At 37.1% G+C, this 18626-nt stretch overlaps 1 protein-coding gene and 1 pseudogene across 9 annotated transcripts in view, besides 2 other annotated features; both read right to left on the reverse strand.

Annotated features, from left to right (window-relative positions):
* NOX4 (NADPH oxidase 4) overlaps positions 1-18626 on the reverse strand; it is a 265205-nt gene that overhangs the window by 165359 nt on the left and 81220 nt on the right. For 4 of the 9 annotated variants that reach the window (NR_120406.2, NM_001291926.2, NM_001143836.3 and 1 more), the window contains exons 1-2: positions 1479-1664; positions 747-842 (exon numbers count right to left, since the gene is read on the reverse strand). Coding sequence is in view for 7 of the 9 variants with exons in the window: in NM_001143836.3 (NP_001137308.2) it covers positions 747-842; positions 1479-1535 (153 nt within the window). In the remaining 2 variants the exon portion in view is untranslated. 9 annotated transcript variants of the gene reach the window in all.
* Positions 1209-1915: an enhancer, noted in NCBI's record as "H3K27ac-H3K4me1 hESC enhancer chr11:89224088-89224794 (GRCh37/hg19 assembly coordinates)". NCBI's record gives its function as "activates a minimal SCP1, AML or CMV promoter by ChIP-STARR-seq in naive H9 embryonic stem cells {active_cell/tissue: H9 hESC(naive)}" and the evidence as "EXISTENCE:reporter gene assay evidence [ECO:0000049][PMID:30033119]".
* Positions 1916-2622: an enhancer, noted in NCBI's record as "H3K27ac-H3K4me1 hESC enhancer chr11:89224795-89225501 (GRCh37/hg19 assembly coordinates)". NCBI's record gives its function as "activates a minimal SCP1, AML or CMV promoter by ChIP-STARR-seq in naive H9 embryonic stem cells {active_cell/tissue: H9 hESC(naive)}" and the evidence as "EXISTENCE:reporter gene assay evidence [ECO:0000049][PMID:30033119]".
* H3P34 (H3 histone pseudogene 34) lies at positions 9037-9487 on the reverse strand (annotated as a pseudogene).

The raw sequence follows: 18626 nt of genomic DNA on the forward strand, positions 1-18626 counted from the left end.
AGCAAGACTCTGTCTCAAAAAAAAAAAAAGAAAGAAAGAAAGAAAGAAAAAGAAAACGCAATCTCCTTGTGCAAAGTAATATGCCTTCAGTGACACTATCTTCTGTTAAGCAGTCAAATAAGAAGGAGATGGAACAGAAGAATGAAATCAGAAACATCATAGAAAAGAAAGAAAAATATTAACATAAAATAAATCAGAAAAAAGTTTTGCCCAGTATCTTTCTCATATTATAGTAGAATACTGGAATATCATCAGCCACTAACCCAAAGCAAGCACTGAGAACTGCCCAGAAATGAATAACCCCATTAGACCCATATTTTGTGAGAGTTGTCAGTAAAAACAAACAGTGCAGAAATCCTCTGGATAAGCTCATGAGCAGGCTAAAAGCACTGATAAGTATATACTAAAAGCTTGTTATTGGTTGATCCTCCTAGTGAATCAGATCCTTCAGGGTACTTAGCAGCTGGCAATAAGTAGCAATTTTTTTAAGGCACCAATAACCTGGTCTGGCAGGTTCATTCGTTTCACTTCAGCAGATATTACCTTTGGTTCTTGAGAGAGTCAATCTTTTTAACTTGTACAAGTGTAAATGATAAATCAGGAAAATGTGACCACTTTAGAGAACAACAAAGGTTTTCAAAGTGAAGAGTGCACATTTCTTTAATGAATGGAACTGACCAAACCTGTAGCAATGTCTGCCAGTGTTAAACCCATTCCACCAGATTATCCAAGTTCACCTTACTTACCCCCAACATCTGGTGGAGGTAGTGATACTCTGGCCCTTGGTTATACAGCAAGAAGGTTTTCCAGAAAAGCAGGACATTCATGGAGAGCCAGATGAACTAAACCAATCAGACATGAGAGACAGAAAACAAAAATTGAAAATAATTATTACCTGATGAATAGAAACCACAGGTAAATTCTTCGACACAGTGCTTTCAATGGAACCTAAATCAGTAACTGCAGAAAGCATTTTCAATTAACCAGCAAGCTGAAAACCACTCAGAGGAAAACAAATCTGACTTTACCCAGCCCTTTCACCTGAGACTAAGCATTTGGGTTGCAAATAGGTTTCCTAAATGATTTACAGCTATCCCCTGCCGTACAAAATGAGATTAAGAAATTAATGACATCACCATACCCCAAGCAAACAGAAGTAATCTGGGAAAAGAACAAAGGGAGCAAAAATGTTTAAAGGGTAAAAAGAAAAGCTGTATTCACGGAAAATGACCTCTTCCCTCTTCCTCCACATCTCTCCCATCAATGTGCAGAAAAATTCTCATGCATTTGGGGGACAGGCGAGGGGGTGGGAGGGGGAGTGTTCATTGTTATCTCCAGCATAAAGTTTTGTAAGTTGAGAATGTTCGAATTAAGACAAAACTTCCACTTCCAGCTTCCCACCCGTGCACGCTCAGAGAATGAATCAAAATCACTGCAGGACAGAGAGAACGCAAGGAGAGCCTAGCCCGCCATCCTACCAGGCAGAGGTGTTTAACCCCTTCGTTGGCGAGCCAGCTCCTCCAGGACACAGCCATGCCGCCGGCCCCGCCGCGCTGCGCTCTGTGCCCGCCGGACCGAGAAGGAGCGGGCGGCGGCCGGGGCAGCGGTTACAGTTGTGCGGCCTGCCGGGCCGCTGAGCGAGGACCGAGGGTCAAAGACTGAGTGGAAGCCCGAAGGCCCGGCGCCGAGCCAGCCCGGGCGGGGTCTGCTACCCAGAGCCGGGTTTTCCGGGCGCCCTGACTCCCACCCGCACCGGGTCAGCTCTGCCCACTCAGCTGCCCAGACGCCCAGCGCTCTGAGCGCGCGGCCCAGGCTGCACCAGTCTGCTCCGCCGCGCCGGCCCCTTTGTCTAGGGGCGAGCCTGTTGTTGTGGCTGCTGCTGTTCAGGATGTCCCGGGTGGGAACTTGGAGGCGTCCCCCGCAGCCTCTACCCAGGCCTGCCAGGCTCCAAAATACTGGCAAACATGTGAACAATGCTACTCATACTAAAAGTGGGGACCCTCGCCGCCCCCTTGTACACACACACACACACACACACACACACACACACACACAAGAAGACACAGCTCTTTTAGACTGATTGTTTTCCCCCAAAAAAGTTCATCTCAAAGAGCCTTGGTAACGAAATTTGAGCCGGAAACAGCCTTTTGTGTGCTAGTTCACGTTTCTCCCACCCTTCCTCAGCAAATTATCCCACTCCCAAACTAAAGCCCCCCTGACAGCCTTACCTAAGGCTTCCCACCAGCCGCCAGTTTCTTTATCCCCTTGCCCGCCCATCCCATACTGATAAAAAGGTTTTAAGACATTACTGAATAAGAAGAACCCAGGGAATTAATGGTTAAAGCTGATGTAATTCTTAGGGGCTCTAGGTTAGGTTCACTCTATTCGGGAATCTTTTTGTTTTAATACCTAGTCTGTTTGTAAGTAATAGGAATCCTCTCAATCTTGTACCAGAGGTCCAGTGAAGAGTGAGAAGTGTGTGGAGTTGACCCAGGTACCTATTCGACACTGCAACAAATCAGTATTAGAAAAGAGAGAGAAAAAAATGTCATTCATGTAGAAAAAAATCTGATGCAAAATAGATATCCAATAAAGGTTTGTTAAACCAATAACTTTTCTAGATTTAACAACTAATGAGAGACAGAAAAGTTTACTACTAGTTGCTTAATCGAATGGCTTTTAAACTCTTAAAATAAAAAATCTTACAACACAGGCCATAGGATATAATTAAAACTAAAATTTCAAAAAATACTACTACTCTCACTACATGCAATATACTTATTCCAATTAATTTAATGAACTGATTAATGATTGCAGTCCTCAGTTTTAAAAATCAAAATGAATTCATATCAAGTCCCTGTTAGACTTCACACAATTTTCTAATAGCCTGTTTTTCCTGTTTCATGCATGACCAAATCCAGAAAGCTGTCCTAAATCTTTCTGAAGTTAGAGAGCATATTGTTTATAAATAATACTATGTTCTTTCTGACCATGTGACACCTAAAGGATCAGGGAAAGAGCACACGAAAAACCCAAGGGGTCTCTCCACTGGAAGGAAGTCAAATTCTGGGATGCACTGGTGCTCCTAAGCTTTAATTTCAATAGATGGGGGCAGGAGGTTCATTGGCAGAATAGGTTCTTGTCATGAGTTGAGAAGCGTGAAACAATTCAAGAATAGTAAAATAAGAGACCATTTTTAAAAGCTTAGAGACTTTCAGAACAGCAAAAATAACAAAAAGACAAAAGGTTTAAAAAATGGCTCCAACTCTTAATAATGTACCTACTAAGTCCCAGGCTCTGTCTTTGCTACTTCATATACAAAATCTCACTCCATTCTCATAGTAGCCCTCCATGTGCGTGTTAGCACTCTCACTTTAAAGATGAGAAACGGACTGCCGGGCGCGGTGGCTCACGCCTGTAATCCCAACACTTTGGGAGGCCGAGGCGGGTGGATCACGGAGTCAGGAGATGGAGGCCATCCTGGCCAACATGGTGAAACCCCGTCTCTACTAAAAATACAAAAATTAGCCGGGCGTGGTGGCAGGCGCCTGTAGTCCCAGCTATTCAGGAGGCTGAGGCAGAAGAATTGCTTGAACCTGGGAGGCAGAGGTTGCGGTGAGCCAAGATCGCACCACTGCACCCAACCCAGCCTGTGCGACAGAGCAAGACTCTATCTCAAAAAAAAAAAAGAGATGAGAAACGGAAGCTAAAAGAGATGAAGAAATTTGCTTGAGGTAATGAAACTGGGTTTGCTTCCAATTAAAACAACCTATAATCAGTTACTTTTGTAAAATTATTTTGTAAAATGATGGAATGCTTATATAAATGTTGGTTATTACTTATGGCTATTATTTCATAACTCTGTAAGAGGGGACTGAGATCTGTTTATGTTGCTTTACCAGGAAACAGTACTCCAAGCCATCCCCAAGGGACAGAGCTAGTGTCCTGTTACGCAGGAACTCTCATTAATGAGATTGTTTGCAATACAATTTTCTCTAAGCCAGATTGTTTTATTATTATTATTATTATTATTATTATTATTATTATTATTATTTTAGATGGAGTTTTGCTCTTGTTGCCCAGGCTGGAGTGCAATGTCGTAATCTCGGCTGACTGTAACCTCCACCTCCTGGGTTCAAGCAATTCTCTCACCTCAGCCTCCCAAGTAGAGTAGCTGGGATCACAGGCATGTGCCAACCCGCCCAGCTAATTTGTGTATTTTTAGTAGAGACGGGGTTTCACCACATTGGCCAGGCTGCTTTTGAACTCCTGACCTCAGGTGATCCACCAGCCTCGGCCTCCCTAACTGCTGGGATTACAGGCGTGAGCCACCGTGCCTGGCCAACCAGATTGTTTAATGACATAGTTGCTGTATTTCCCAAACTAGGAAAGGCCATTCTTGAAAGTAATGGGGAGAGAGTTCTGTAGCTACATCAGTATTTTAAATATTATAAGAAAATTCACACTTTCTCCAGGAACAGACTTTACAATAAAAACTCAAATGACAGATACCTTTGATTTTTGGCTGAAATAATGGTAAGCTAGTAGTATAACACTGATCTTCCTATGTTAATTATAAAACCTATTGGCAGTTAGAACTGTTCTTAACCTATTATATATTACTTAAACACAGAAACTTTTTTGTAGACAGTGTTTTTCAAAATATGAAATGCACTGGGGAAATACAATACTCTTTCTACATAATCATTACTGCATTTTCCACAAATTAATTTAATTATACGTATGTGTGTGTCTAATTCTCCTACTCAACTGAACTTCTTAAGGACAAAAATCCTGTCTTACTCCATTTTTATTCTAGGACTTAGCACATAGCTTGACACATAGTAGGAATTTACACAACGTTTATTAGATGAAGGAATAGTGGTTAAGTATATCATCTTTCTTTCCGTGCCTTTCTCAAATCCCAATTTCTCAAGCATAACTCTCCAGTAATATAAAAATAGTTTCTGCTCAGCTTGACAATTAATGACCAGAAAAGGTAAAGAAACGGGGCAAGAACCCCTTAAAATGGATGTTACCAACCCCACAGGTTAAACGATAGGAATTTAAGACAAGTGGGCCCTTCTGTTAGTTTCCTATGGCTGTGCTAACAAATCACTACAGATGTCATGGGCTAAAACAACAGAAATTTATCGTCTCACAGTTCTGAATGTCAGAAGTCTGAAATCAGTATTATTGGTTCAAAATCAAGGTGTTCACCAGATCACAATATTTTCTTTTCTTCTTTTGAGACAGGATCTCGCTGTGTCACCCAAGCTGGAGTGGAGTGGTGCAATCATGGCTCACTGCAGCCTTGACCACCCAAGCTCAGGTGATCTTCTCTCCTTAGCCTCCAGTGTAGCTGGGACTACAGGTGCACACCACCACGCCTGGTTCATTTTTAGTTAGTTTGCTTTTTGTTTGTTTGGTTTTGTTTTTTGTTTTTGTAGAGACGAGATTTTGCCATTTTGCCCAGGCTGGTATCAAACTCCTGGGTTCAAGTGATCCACCAGACTCAGCCTCCCAAAGTCCTGGGATTACATGCATGAGCCACTGCAACTAATGCACCATCTTTTCTGATGTGCTAAAGAGAATCTGTTCCTTGTCTCTTCCAGATTCCAGTGGCTGCTGACATTCTTTGATTTGTGGCTGTATCACTCTAATCTCTGCCTCGGTGGTCACATTGCCTCCTCCTCTTCAATCTGTGTGTGTGTCAAATCACCCTCTGCCTCTCTCTTACCAGGACACTTTTGATTGTATTCAGGGCTCACCCAGATAATCCAGGATAATATCCCTATGCAGGATACTTAAATTTAATCACTTCTGCAAAGTCCCTTTTTCCTTATAAAGTAACTTTACAAGTTCCTGAGATTAGGATATGTTATCTTTAGGTGGCTATTATTTAGCCTAGGATAGCACCTAATTAACCTAGATCATATTAATTTTCTTTCTCTGATTGGATATGCTAGCCTTAGAATAAGACTTCTGGAGAAATTTACCTTAAAGAATAAATGTTTGGGACTCCTAGTTAGCATTTCCCTCAAGAAGTCAAAAATTATAGACCAGGAAACATGCCTGATAGAATTCAGTAAGATTTCTTAACCATTGTAATTTGATATAGTTTACCATTTTTGTTATTTCATGTCTAATTACCAGGAGGGATTAGTATTAAAATTCAATGTAAAAAGAGCCTGTGTGTTTTTTCAGGAAGAGAAAAGAGGAACCTAGGAAAGCTCCATCCCAGTATGCAGCATAAACTGGTAGAGTGGGTAAAAGAATCCTAGAGGTTTGAGTAACCGAAAGGGACATTAAAGAGAAAAGGAAACTCCATCATGTCCCTGAGGCCCTTGCAAGGATGAAAGGCCCACCAGGGAGCCAGGGAAAAGTGGTCCAAAGGCTTAACATTCCCAAGTCGGGGGACAAGTTCCAGACAGTGACTCATTCTCATTTCTACACAAAAACAAGTGTAGACCATCATCTGATTCAGTCATTTAGGAATGTCTACCGTGCACCCACATGGCTGGGTTAGCTCCTTGAGAAATTCTGAAGACATTGGAGAGGTCCTTATGCCCTTAAGGACCAGATACTTTGTTGGAAAATAAGGCTTACAAATGTGAAGGCAATTTAAGAACTTCAAAATGAAGATGTTCAATGAAAGCTTGTTGAATAAAACTGAATAATAATGAATTTTTATTTAGAATTGCCCTACATTAAACACTTTTCCAAACTTCTAGATTTCATAGACCAATAAAATTTCAAGAAGAAAAAACATGGTAATCATTTCACAGTGTATATGTATATGAGAACATCAAATTGTACACCTTAAATATATAAAATTTTATATGCCAATGATAGATCAATAGAGCTGTAAAAAAAAAAAGAGAAAAAATAAATACAAACCAACACAGACTAGTCAAATTTTGCTGCAATTAGGGCAATTTTTAAAATGCAAACTGAAAACAACAGTCACAGAAATACATTCACTTCTGTGTTTATTAAAGAAAATTCATTTTTTACAAAATAAATGTAAGAAATACTGACTGCCTTCAGCTTCCAAAGAAGCTCTCTCTCTCCTCTCTTTATGTTTCTCTCTGTCATTTCACAGCAACCCTCTTATTGTTTTTCTTTATTTGTTCCTTAAATCTATAAGGTAGGAAGGTAGGTAAGGCCATTATTTTCTTCATTCTAATTTTATACATGACAGAACTGAGGCATATGCACAGTAACTAACTTGAACTACCTTGCCCAAAGTAACCATGATATTAAGTAGTAGATTTCCAAGAGCGAATACACCTGCTCCTTCCTCTACTTCATGTAGTCATTGTTGAACCAGGACTTCTACCTGTTCTTAGTTCTAATGCTTAAGGCCACAAATGCAGTTGTGGTTGGCAGCTTTCCCCAGTCATCCCAGGTGTGTAGAGATTTACCAGCAGGCCTTTGTGTTGCCAAGACAGTGCACACTCTCCAAAGACTGTTGTGTCTATTGTTTATGATATCATTTGTGCTTTATCTTGCATGGCATTTCCTGAACACATCTATTAACACAGTAATTCCTGTATGTGTGTGAAATGTTACTGTTCTTAAAGTTTTAAACAGAAGTGTCTGAAAAAATATTCTTAATACCCGAATCCATGTTTTCTGGTTGCATCTTCAAACAGCTTTAAAGTATTGAGGAAATATGATTGGACTTCTATAGTCTCACTCACTTTCTGAATATATTAAGAAAATCTTAAACTCAAACTATTAGAATCCACATTAAATAATATGAGTTTTACAGTCATAAAAACATTGGAATTGGAAGAGGCTTTGGAAAGCATCATAACTTTTAGTTACAGAAAGGAAATTAAAGCCTTTTTCTCAGCTCATTGAGCTCACCGAGCACCTTCATGCTACTGCGTCTTTGCACACTTAGAGGGTATTTATTTATACATTTATTGATGAGCTTGTTTGATTAATGACTATATCTGTCTATATCTGACTAAATTGTGAAATTCCCAAAGGCAAATCCCATGTCTGTTTTGTTCATTCTTGTTTTCCCAGAGCCACACACTGGGCTTGGAACATCAGTAGGGTCTCAGTAATGGTTTTAATGAAAGAAATGAAAGACAGTAGGAGAATCTAAATTTCCTGACTTCTCTTCCAATAATTATTTCACACTGACAGTTTCTTTTTTACACTAATATGATATTCTGTACTTCTTTAATTCTTTCTATTTCCCAAACATATCCTGTTTTCTCACATTTCCATTTATGTGTATGCTTTACTTGTTTCATGGCACACCTTACCTGGAGATGCTTACTTAGTCTCCAAACTCAAGACCAGTATCTTCTCCTGCTAGAGGCCCATGTAGACTCTTCCCAGCTGCATCAGGAACCTCTTCTTTGCGTCCACTGTGTGCCACTCTCTCTCAGAGTAGTTATTGTGCCCCATTTGTTGGTGCATTTTCTAGGTTGTTTCTCCAACTAGACTAGAAGTACTTTGAGGAAAAGAAGTTTATGTTGTTGTTTAATGTATTTTAATAACAAACTTATAGGCACAGCACAGAAGATAGATAACATTAAAAACATGTATTTGCATGTGGGACAACTTAGAAAAGTATAGTAAAAAGATAGAATCTATTATATGATAAAAATTATATAAACATCATTTAGTTGCTGTCAGTAAAAAATTTACTTGCCAACCCAACGTCAATCCAAATGTCCAGAATAACTTAACAGGTTTATTTATAATTGCTATAAAGTTGAATTGCTGAAACTTGTTCACCGAAGTATGTTGACTTGCGTTAATGCTTCACATCCCGTTTATATTAAAAATTCACATACGAATGAAAATAGAAAAACTGCAAATAACTGATTTCTGTACCCTATTTTTCCACTTGCAAGCATATATTTGGGTACCTTTGGATCCCATGGGAAAAAAATAACGTTCAGAATGACTAATAATAGGAAGAAAAGAATTCGGCAGGAGGGCCGAGGGATATGAAATGTTTCCCATCACAGGGGATTCTTAAGCATATTTGCTATGTTTGTGGCATGCTAGTTGAATGCACTTTGGCATAATTGTCACACTTTTGGCATGGATAACACACAGGATTGTGCCTTCAAAAAGGTTAACTAGATAGGTCTTCACTTGCCTCTTGCAAAGCACCAATAGCTGCACTCTGGAAGCCCAGACCTATTTTGAAGTCTTGAGAAATTTTTCACACCAGATGCTAGAAAGAAGTTTTTGAATCAGAAGTTCAATGGGCTTTTCATAATATCTAATTTCATGAAGCACTACAGTATAAGGCTTGCGGTGAGGTTTCTTCACCCCTCCAGTAGAGGGTGCACTTGCAAGCGGCATTTGTAGCATTCGGTGAGGTTTCTTTACCCCTCCGGTAGAGGGTGCACTCGCAAGAGGCATTTGTAGCTAGTTATTTTTAGCTAGTTGCTTCCTGGGCAGTTTACTATGGGTCATTTGCAAGCAGTCCACTTTGTAGGAGCCATGGAATAGAGATTTCCTTACTTACACCCCTTGTCCTTTGGCTGCAGCTCAGTGAACTAGAGGCTGCACTGGTGTTAGAGCAAGAAATTTTTCTTCATTACATAAATCCTGGCACATAGTAAGTGCTCAAAATATATTTAATGAACAAATGAATAAATAAATTAATGTCTAACATGTGAAACCAGTTTAGGTTATTTTCAAAATGAAAACTCAGCATTCACCAAATATTCTAATTGCCAACAGTGTGGCAAAGGTTTTAGGTTAGAACTTGTTACAGAAGAAGTTCAGGAATAAGAGAAATAAATAAATAAACAAATAAACTTGACAATTGTCTTGTCTTCTTCCTCAACAATCTGGCATGATATTTAGCCTTCAGCCAAACTTTCCTACTCTCCAAAAATTTAAGGCTGGGAATTTCACAGTATTTTTTGTTTTTGTTTCCATTCTCACAATTGGATCACTCTTACTTATATCGATTTAATAGCTTAAATGTCTCTAATGTTAGTGCATACCACACTGTATAATACGTTGGTTTATCTGTCTTCCCCATGGGAATCAGACAACTGCCAGTCAAAGAAACTGTGGAATTAATCTTTGTAATCCCAGGGCCTAGCACAATGCCTGGTTCATTATTTAATCAGTGGATATTTAATTTTTTAAAAATAATGCTTGAGCACCTCTCATTATTATTTATCATTCTAACCTTGGACTTCAATACTGTGTTACATTGAGAGAAAAACTATTACAGGAATAAGATTCTATTAGAAAGGTAAATTACCTACATGGCATAGAATGTAACATCTGTACTTCAGATGTTATGCCTGTCATATTTCATTACTATTCCTCCTAAGAATTCACTCCCCTAAGTAATGTATTCTATTATGTGTTGCCTAGCATATCAGGACTATTCAACATCTTTGAAAGATTATTGTGTAAGATCAAATGTTTAAAAGGAGAATAATCTTGCATCTTAGGGTTCTGCATTCTTTTCTACTATTGAAATTTTTGGTTAAGAAGAAAGTTTTGTACCTTATTCCTTTTTACCATTTCTGTCAGTTCTGTCAATTTTTTGCCTGGAGACCCTTTTGATTCAGTCTCCTACAGAAGGCAGCATTATGCTTCCTGTGGTCTTTCATAGTCCTTTCTTAAAATTTGTATGTGTTCAATTATTATATGGTGATGCAATTATTTGTCAACCAAATGTCTTCATATCAGTGGAATTTCACTGGAGGAGCACATAGCCTGCAAGTTCTCCATCATTCTGCTCTTCTTTCATTTAGCAACAAAACCCCCTAAGTTTCAGCTGGATTATAGCTGTGAACTAGTCATTACTTGTTTTAGCCTCTCTTTCTGTCAAGATTAGACATTGACCATGTTTCTACAAATGAGATGTGAGCAGAAGAGATGTGTATGTCCTTTTACAAAGGAAATTTCTTCCACATTTTCCTTTTTCTCCTATTTCACAGGCTGGAAATATGCTTTAAGCATGAATTTAAGGACAATGAAGGATAATGAAAGATATTATCTGAAGAATAATGAAGAAATAAGATATTAAAAATTTAGATGACCTTGTAAATGAGTTGTAGCTACCCACTTATATGGTTCACTTCTTTAATGTTATGAGAAATAAACTGCTTTATTCAAGGCACCGTATTTTAGGTTACAGCTGCTTAACTTATTATAGCCTGTTATTATAGAAATTGGTTCCTGCAAGTGGGGCATTGTCATAATAAAAAACAAAATACATGACATTAGTTTAGCACATTAGGGGGCAGGTAGAAAGGACCTGCAGGCTAGAAAGTGATGTCCTTTGATATGCCATTACAAAACATATGCCAACTTGGAAATATACTGCATTATTACCAAGCTGTAGCCCTAGGAGAACAGGATTTTTTTTAATGTCGTATTTTTGGTATGTTTTGGCTGCTACTTGGAACTTTCAGCAAAATGTTACAAGAGACATGAAATAAAGTTAGGCAAGAAGTGGCCCATTTGCAAATGGAAAAGAAAAGAAAGCTCTGCTAATGGAAAATCTCTCTGCCTGTGATCTGCAATTTAATAGATTAAAATTCCCCTAATTTGAGACTTCAGAGTGTAGAAAAGCTAACTGTTTCCATATCCCAATGAGCATGAACGAGCATGATATTAGATTGTCCCTCAGAGTCAGCTCAGAGGTAAAGAGCGGTAGTTTTGGGTGGTATTAAGGTCGCTTATATTAAGTTAAGGGAAGGAAAGATGAGCAGAGAAGAGAAGATAATAAAAAGGGGAGCATCTATAGACTCTATAGACATTGCTCAAAAGATTGTTTTTGCTGTGGTTACTCCACATGGAAGTGATTGGAAGCAAATAAGCAAGAATACTACTAAGGGTCTGAAAGAATTTTATTATCATAAGAACCACAAGGCTGGTATACAACGACCTTTGTTGTTAGCTCTCTAACACAATCCTCTGTCCTTCCAAGCCGAACCAAGGAGAGAACACTCACTCTTGCCACCTTCTGATGTGGACAGTGGATGAAGAAGAACCTCCCAAATATGTAAAGTCAAAGCTGCAGGGGGCAATGGACGAAGAAAATACTCACTGAGAGCAGAACAAGAGGCTGGTTAACCCAAACAACTAATACATCAGCAGGATGGAGAGTATTCACCATTTCTACCCAGGAGAATTTGAGATTTACTGTGAGCCAGAAACAGCTGGGTGCTTTTCAGTTTTTATGTTTCTGAATGGGAGTTTTTGTTGCAGTTATCCTGTCCCTACTCCACCATTATATATCAGGACAAAGGAAGATATGTAACTTGTAAGTTTGTAAGTTGATGCCAGAGCACAAGGAGCCACTTCCAGACCTGAAAGAGAAGACTATATTTCACTCCAGTCCTGGATTTTCAGCTGCAGCAGTAACTGAATAAGATTTTATGTGGGCCCCCTTGAAGAGGATTTGAGTGTATTTATGAAGAAAGATGAGGGTGCATGGACACCTGGGTTGTTAGAAGGGCAAACTGACAGACTGATACCTATCCATTGTTATTAATTATCCCCTAGTCCACTTACTAATAGAACCCCACGAGTCTTATCGGAACACAGAACTGCTCAGCTAGATGCAACATTTTGCAACCTACTCAGGTAGGTGTGGGCATGAGACTACATTAGTAGGAGTAATGGGTTAAACTTTCTAGTCTTATCGGTTAAAGAGAAAATTGCTTATATTTCATTTTCTCTGTTTCCCCATTCATGAGATTGGAACACAAATGTGCTGATGAACTCTCTTTGATCAAATAAGACTATGCTCTAGGAGATAGTTGAGCAACTCAATAAGAAACTGGATTGCTAAATGACCTCCTGGAGCAAAGGTCCCTGTTAGCCAAGAATGGATTGACTCTTACATGAGGGAGAATAAAACTATCATTTTGATGAATCCACCATCATTTTTGGAATTTTCGTGTTACAGTAACTTAGTCAATACTCTAAATGCTATAATTGAATTACAACAATATGAATTGATGACAGAAGAATATTTTTGATGTTGAGAAACACAGCCATATTAACATGCTAAATGTTTGCATCACAAGTTATTGATAATTCAGGGAATATATCGTAATATTCATATTCCTAGACTTAACTGACTTTGTAATGAATCCATATTTCTTTCATTAATTAGTCAAATAATTCACAAAATGAAAATAGCAAAATAAGAATGGTTGTATGATTCAAACACTTCAAAAATGAACACAATTCTTTTCCCTGTACTATTAATTGTAGTTGTCACCTTAGGGTCTAGCTTTGTACCTTCTCCTCAAGAGTTGAATTATTACTCATCATATCTGGCCTATATAAATGAAAAATACCCTTTATCTTTATTTCTTTGTCCTAGACTATTTAAATCATTTATTTTAACAGCAAATTTGGAAGAACAACAGTAGAGTAAGTGTTCGATAAATGTGGACAGGCACTTGTTAGCAAAATATGTTAAAATTCCTTTTTATATATTTGGAATCCCATAGCCAAATTTTCAGTTGCAAATGCTATACTACTGATATTACTCCCAAATATCATGAGGTCACAGAGAGATAAGTCCTCAACTAGACTCTCCCATACAGACTAATTTAAACAACAAAAGAGTCCAATTCTATTTATGGTAATTATCTGAGTGATGATACTCATTAATAAGGTCTCTAGCAGAATATAAACAGGAAATATGCATGGGGAACATTGGAATAATATAACTGTAGTATAATATTCAACACAATGTTAAAAAAACTGCCATTCGTTCTACTATTGATGATCAAATTACATTTCCTCTTTTCAGCTCATTAATACTGGACATGCTGTTGTTTTACTCAATAAGTAAAAAAATCAGGTTGTGAGATTGAAAATGCCATGTTAGAGAGGTATTCTGATATATTGGACAGGGCAGTGAATTCGGAGTTGGAATTCCTGACTTCCACTGAACCCTGGCTCTGCCATTAATCTTTTTATTAACTTTAGACAAGTAATTTAATACTTTTAAGCTTCAAATTCTGAATGTATAAGATTAATGGGACAGGCTAGACAATATCTAAGGTATTTTCTGGTTCTAGAGTTTTGTGATTCTACAAATTTCCCAATCCATCCTATAACATTGAAATCTCATGCAACATATATTAATTGAGCAATACACTTTGGGTTAGACATCATACTAGATCAAAGCTGAGATGAATGGCCACCATAGACATGATCCCTATCCTTCTATCCTTCTGGAACTTACTATCAAGTGGAAAGACATAGCCTATGGTAATAATTACAACACAAAACACTTAATTGTATTTGAGGAAAGTTCTACACAAAGGGTATGCAATGCTGTGGGGTACAAAATAACAAAATCTTCGTAGTCTTGAGTGCTATGGAATCATATCTGATTAACAAATTTTTAAGATGAGATCTGAAGGACAATAGCCAGACAAGGAGGAGTGGTAGCAGAAGGGATGTCCAGACAGAGGAAATAGCATGAGCAAATTCATTGTGGTGGAAGAGAACTCTTGGCCCAATTAAGTTGCTGAAAGCAAGCTAGTGTTGCTGGAACACACAGGGTGACAGAAAAAGTGGCATAAAATGACACTGGGGAGACAGACAGCGTCACTTCACTTGGAGCTTTATAATCCAATATACATTTTGCACTCCATACAAAAATATAATATATGGGACAAAATAGACATGTTTTAAGTAGGGATGCAATGTTATCAGTTTTCTTTTAAAAACATCACTCTGTCATGGATGAATAGACAGGATGTGGCAATAGAGGGTGTGGGAAAAATAGAACAAAGGCTACTGAAGTAGATAGGTGATAAGAGACAATGACTTTATCAGAGTTGTTATAGTTACAATGGAAAGAAATGGATAGATTTTTTACATATTTGGAAACTAGGGTCTACCAAAATTGTGATGAATCAAAGATGATTCCGTATTCAACTGCTAGTCTAAGTTCCATTGTGAATTATACATCAGGATATTTGTAAGTAGAATATTATTTTGTGAATTAATACAGACATCTGTTTCACTGCATCTTTAAGCAATGATCATACAAACTTTGAGCACCTCCAGTTTCGGAGGATTTATTGCATTTTAAAGAAGACAATTGGTTTTTGGACAATTCTGAATGTTAGAAAGATCTTCTTGATACTGTGCCAAAATTCCTTGACTTTAATTGTTGTTCTAATTCCCTTGTCTCACCTCCGATCCCCAAAGCAATACAGAATATGATTAGTTCTTCTTTGGTATGGCAACATTTCAAACATGTCAAGCTGGGTTTTGGTTGCCACCTTGCCTTCTAGCCCCATCTTTCTCTCTTACCAAGCGTCTTTTCTATAAGCTAAGTGTAGGAATTTCTGCTTTCTTGCCTTAATCACTCTTTGTTAGCTATTACTTACCTTTTAAGTCTCAGAGGAAGGACTATTTTCCCAGAGAACCCTAACACAGGAATATTAGGTCCCCTCATTATAAACTCTTAAATATCATTAACTTTTTCCTTTATAGCACTTTTTAAGTTAGAAATCATTAATGTCTGTCTTCCCTGCTAGACACAAAATACATTAAGAGAATTTGGTCTGCAGTGGGGAAAGACAAGCTAAGTCACTGTCTATGAGGAGATCATGTTCTAATGAGCCCGATAAGTTGTTAAATGAGTAAATAAATTAACATATAATTAGAAACAGTATAAATAATAACATTAATCGGTGCAAAAGTTATTGCAGTTTTTGCCATTAAAAGTAAGCGTAACTTTAATGAGAGTGTGAGGACCAGGAAAGGCCTTTCTAAGGACCTGATATGTAAGCTGAGACTCAGAGGAGTCTCAGATACTACTCAGAGGAGTAGTTAGTATGGGAGAGGTCTCTGAAATTTAGTATGCTGATATGGCTAGAGTGCAGTTACTGAGGGGACAACTGGAGGAAATGTGCGGCAAAGAGACTAAAAACATCTTGTGGTATTTGATGGGAGTGTAATGTGAGGAGAAAACAGGAATCTTAGAGCTGGATAATTTGCTAGTGTAAAAGAAACTTGACTGATATCAGTTCGATGAAATAAGTACATTATTTGTAATTACTATAAAATATTATGGTACCATTAATTGGACTTTTGCTTCCAGATAAAATAGTAAAGCCAGAAATATATTTAGTCTTCCTCCTAAATTAACTATAAAAACAGACAAAATATGTAAAACAATGGCTTTCAAGACATTGGACATGAAGTGATGAAGAATAGTGATCCCTGAAAAATGGAAAACAAGTAGGGTGAGGTTTATGATTGTCCCTGCTACTGTCTTGAGAGAGTTTCTATGTTGAGGCAGTATGTATATTTATGGTATTGATAAACATAGATATAAAAATAAGTATAGATAAACAAACCAATGAAACTGATTAAAGACTGCATAAATAGATCCACACACATATGGAAACTGATTTGTGACAATGTTTAATGTCAATTCAGTGGAGAAACTGTAGTCTTCCTAATAACAGTTTTGAAACATTTGGATGTCCATTTGTAGAAAGAAAGAAAGAGAGAAAGAAAGAAAGAGAGAGAGAGAAAGAAAAAAAGAAAGAGAAAGAAAGAAAAAGAAAGGAAGAAAGAAAGAAAGAAAGAGAGAGAAAGAAAGAAAGAGAAAAAAGGAAAGGAAAGGAAGAAAAAGAACGAAGGAAGAAAGGAACAAAGGAAAAAATAAAGGAAGAAAAATATTTTCATCCATATCTTACACCATGCACAAATATTAACTCAAAATGGATCATAGACCTAAATGTAAAGCCTACAACTATAAAATACCTAGAAATAAATATAGGAGAAAATTTTTGTAACCTTGAATTAGTCAAAAAATTCTAAAATATGACACCAAAATCATGATCTATAAAAGGAAAAATTGATGTTAGAGGTCATTAAAGTATATAACTTCTGTTCTTCAAAAGTTACTGTTAAGAGAATAAAAACAGAAGCCACAGACATGAATAAAATATCTGTAACTCATATGTCTGATAAGAACTTGTATCTAAAGTACATAAAAGACCTTTACGACTTAATGATAAGAAAACAAATAGTCCAATGAAAAATACAGATACCTCACCAAAGAAGATATATGGATTGCAAATAAGCATAGGCAAACATAACTAAACACCATTAGTTATTAAGAACAAGTAAATTAAAACTACAATGTGATAGCACTACATACCTATCAGAATGGCTAAGATTAAAAAGGCTTTAAATGGTGTCAGGGAAACTGGTATACTCATACAATGCAATACTATTCACCAATAAAAGGAATGAACTCTCGATACATACTACAACATGTATGAATCTCAAAGTAATTATTCTGGGTGAAAGAAATCAGACATAAAAATATGTACTGCATGATTCCATTTTTCACAAATGCCTAGGGAATAAAAACTATATTCTATATTTATAGAAAGTAGATGAAGATTTTCTGTGGCTGGGGTGGGCTGGGATAGCAACGGATGTTATAGAGGGATTACAAAAAAGATTGAGGAATCGTTTAGTAGGGATGGATACGTGCATTATCTTGATTGTGGTGATGGTTTCATGGGTGTATCCATATGTCAAAACTTACCCAATTGTACCTTTTACATAAATGCAGTTTGTGAGATGTTTTAATGTTAACTATGACTCAGTAAAGTTACGTGTGTGTATATGTCCATGTATAGATATGCTATATATAATATATAATAATACACATAATAGGTAATACATACCATATATAATAATACACAATACACATAATATACAATGCATATGTCATATAATATATAACAATGTAATACACATATACACACAGACTTACATAATATATATTGCAATATATACATATATATTGAATGAAGATTAAAACTATGTGTGTGTATATAGGTATATAAATGACTTTTTGCTAAAAGCTATTCTCAAATCTATCCCATGGGGCAATTCAGTATCCAAAACGAATGTGGTTATTCCACTTTAGAATATCTCTTGTATAACATTCTGCTTCATTATGGTTATTTTCATTGACTCTTTTACTCTTATGTTTCTGCAGTACCCAGCCTAGTAGTTTGCACATGGTAAATATTAGATAATTCAAAGTTGAGTTCAGGATAGGTAAGCTTCTAAAGGGAATTACTATTTACCACCAAGAATAGCAGTGATGGGCCTTTAAAAACGTAAGAATTTCTTAGAAAAGTCAAAGTTTCATTTAAAGGTCAAAGCATCTAAACAAATAGGAATTAAAATCCAAATAGCCAAATACTCTCTCAGCTAAACACATTCAAAAGTTATATTTGCCCTCATAGTTTATATAGAAGGAGATTTATTTTTATACGAAGCGCCCATTCATTGGTAATATATACAACCAGGAAGATCAAATAAATAAACATGCTTTTAAAAATAATATAATGCAAAAACTATTGGTATGTAAACTGACTTTCTTGTAACCCTCCAAGATACTGTTAGCTATGAGAATCTTAATATCATACTGGTTTATAGGCTACCTAATTCATACTTGCATTAGGTAGAAAAACAAACATCCTCAAAAGTGAAGTTCCCAAAGCACCGCACTCAGGATGTCTGTACTACAGGTGTGATGTCTTGTAAATGAGCGCCAGCTCTCTGACAAGTGTCACTCTTTGACTGACCTGTGG

The sequence above is a fragment of the Homo sapiens genome, chromosome 11 (genome assembly GCF_000001405.40).
Source record: "Homo sapiens chromosome 11, GRCh38.p14 Primary Assembly".
Taxonomy (NCBI): Eukaryota; Metazoa; Chordata; class Mammalia; order Primates; family Hominidae; genus Homo; species Homo sapiens.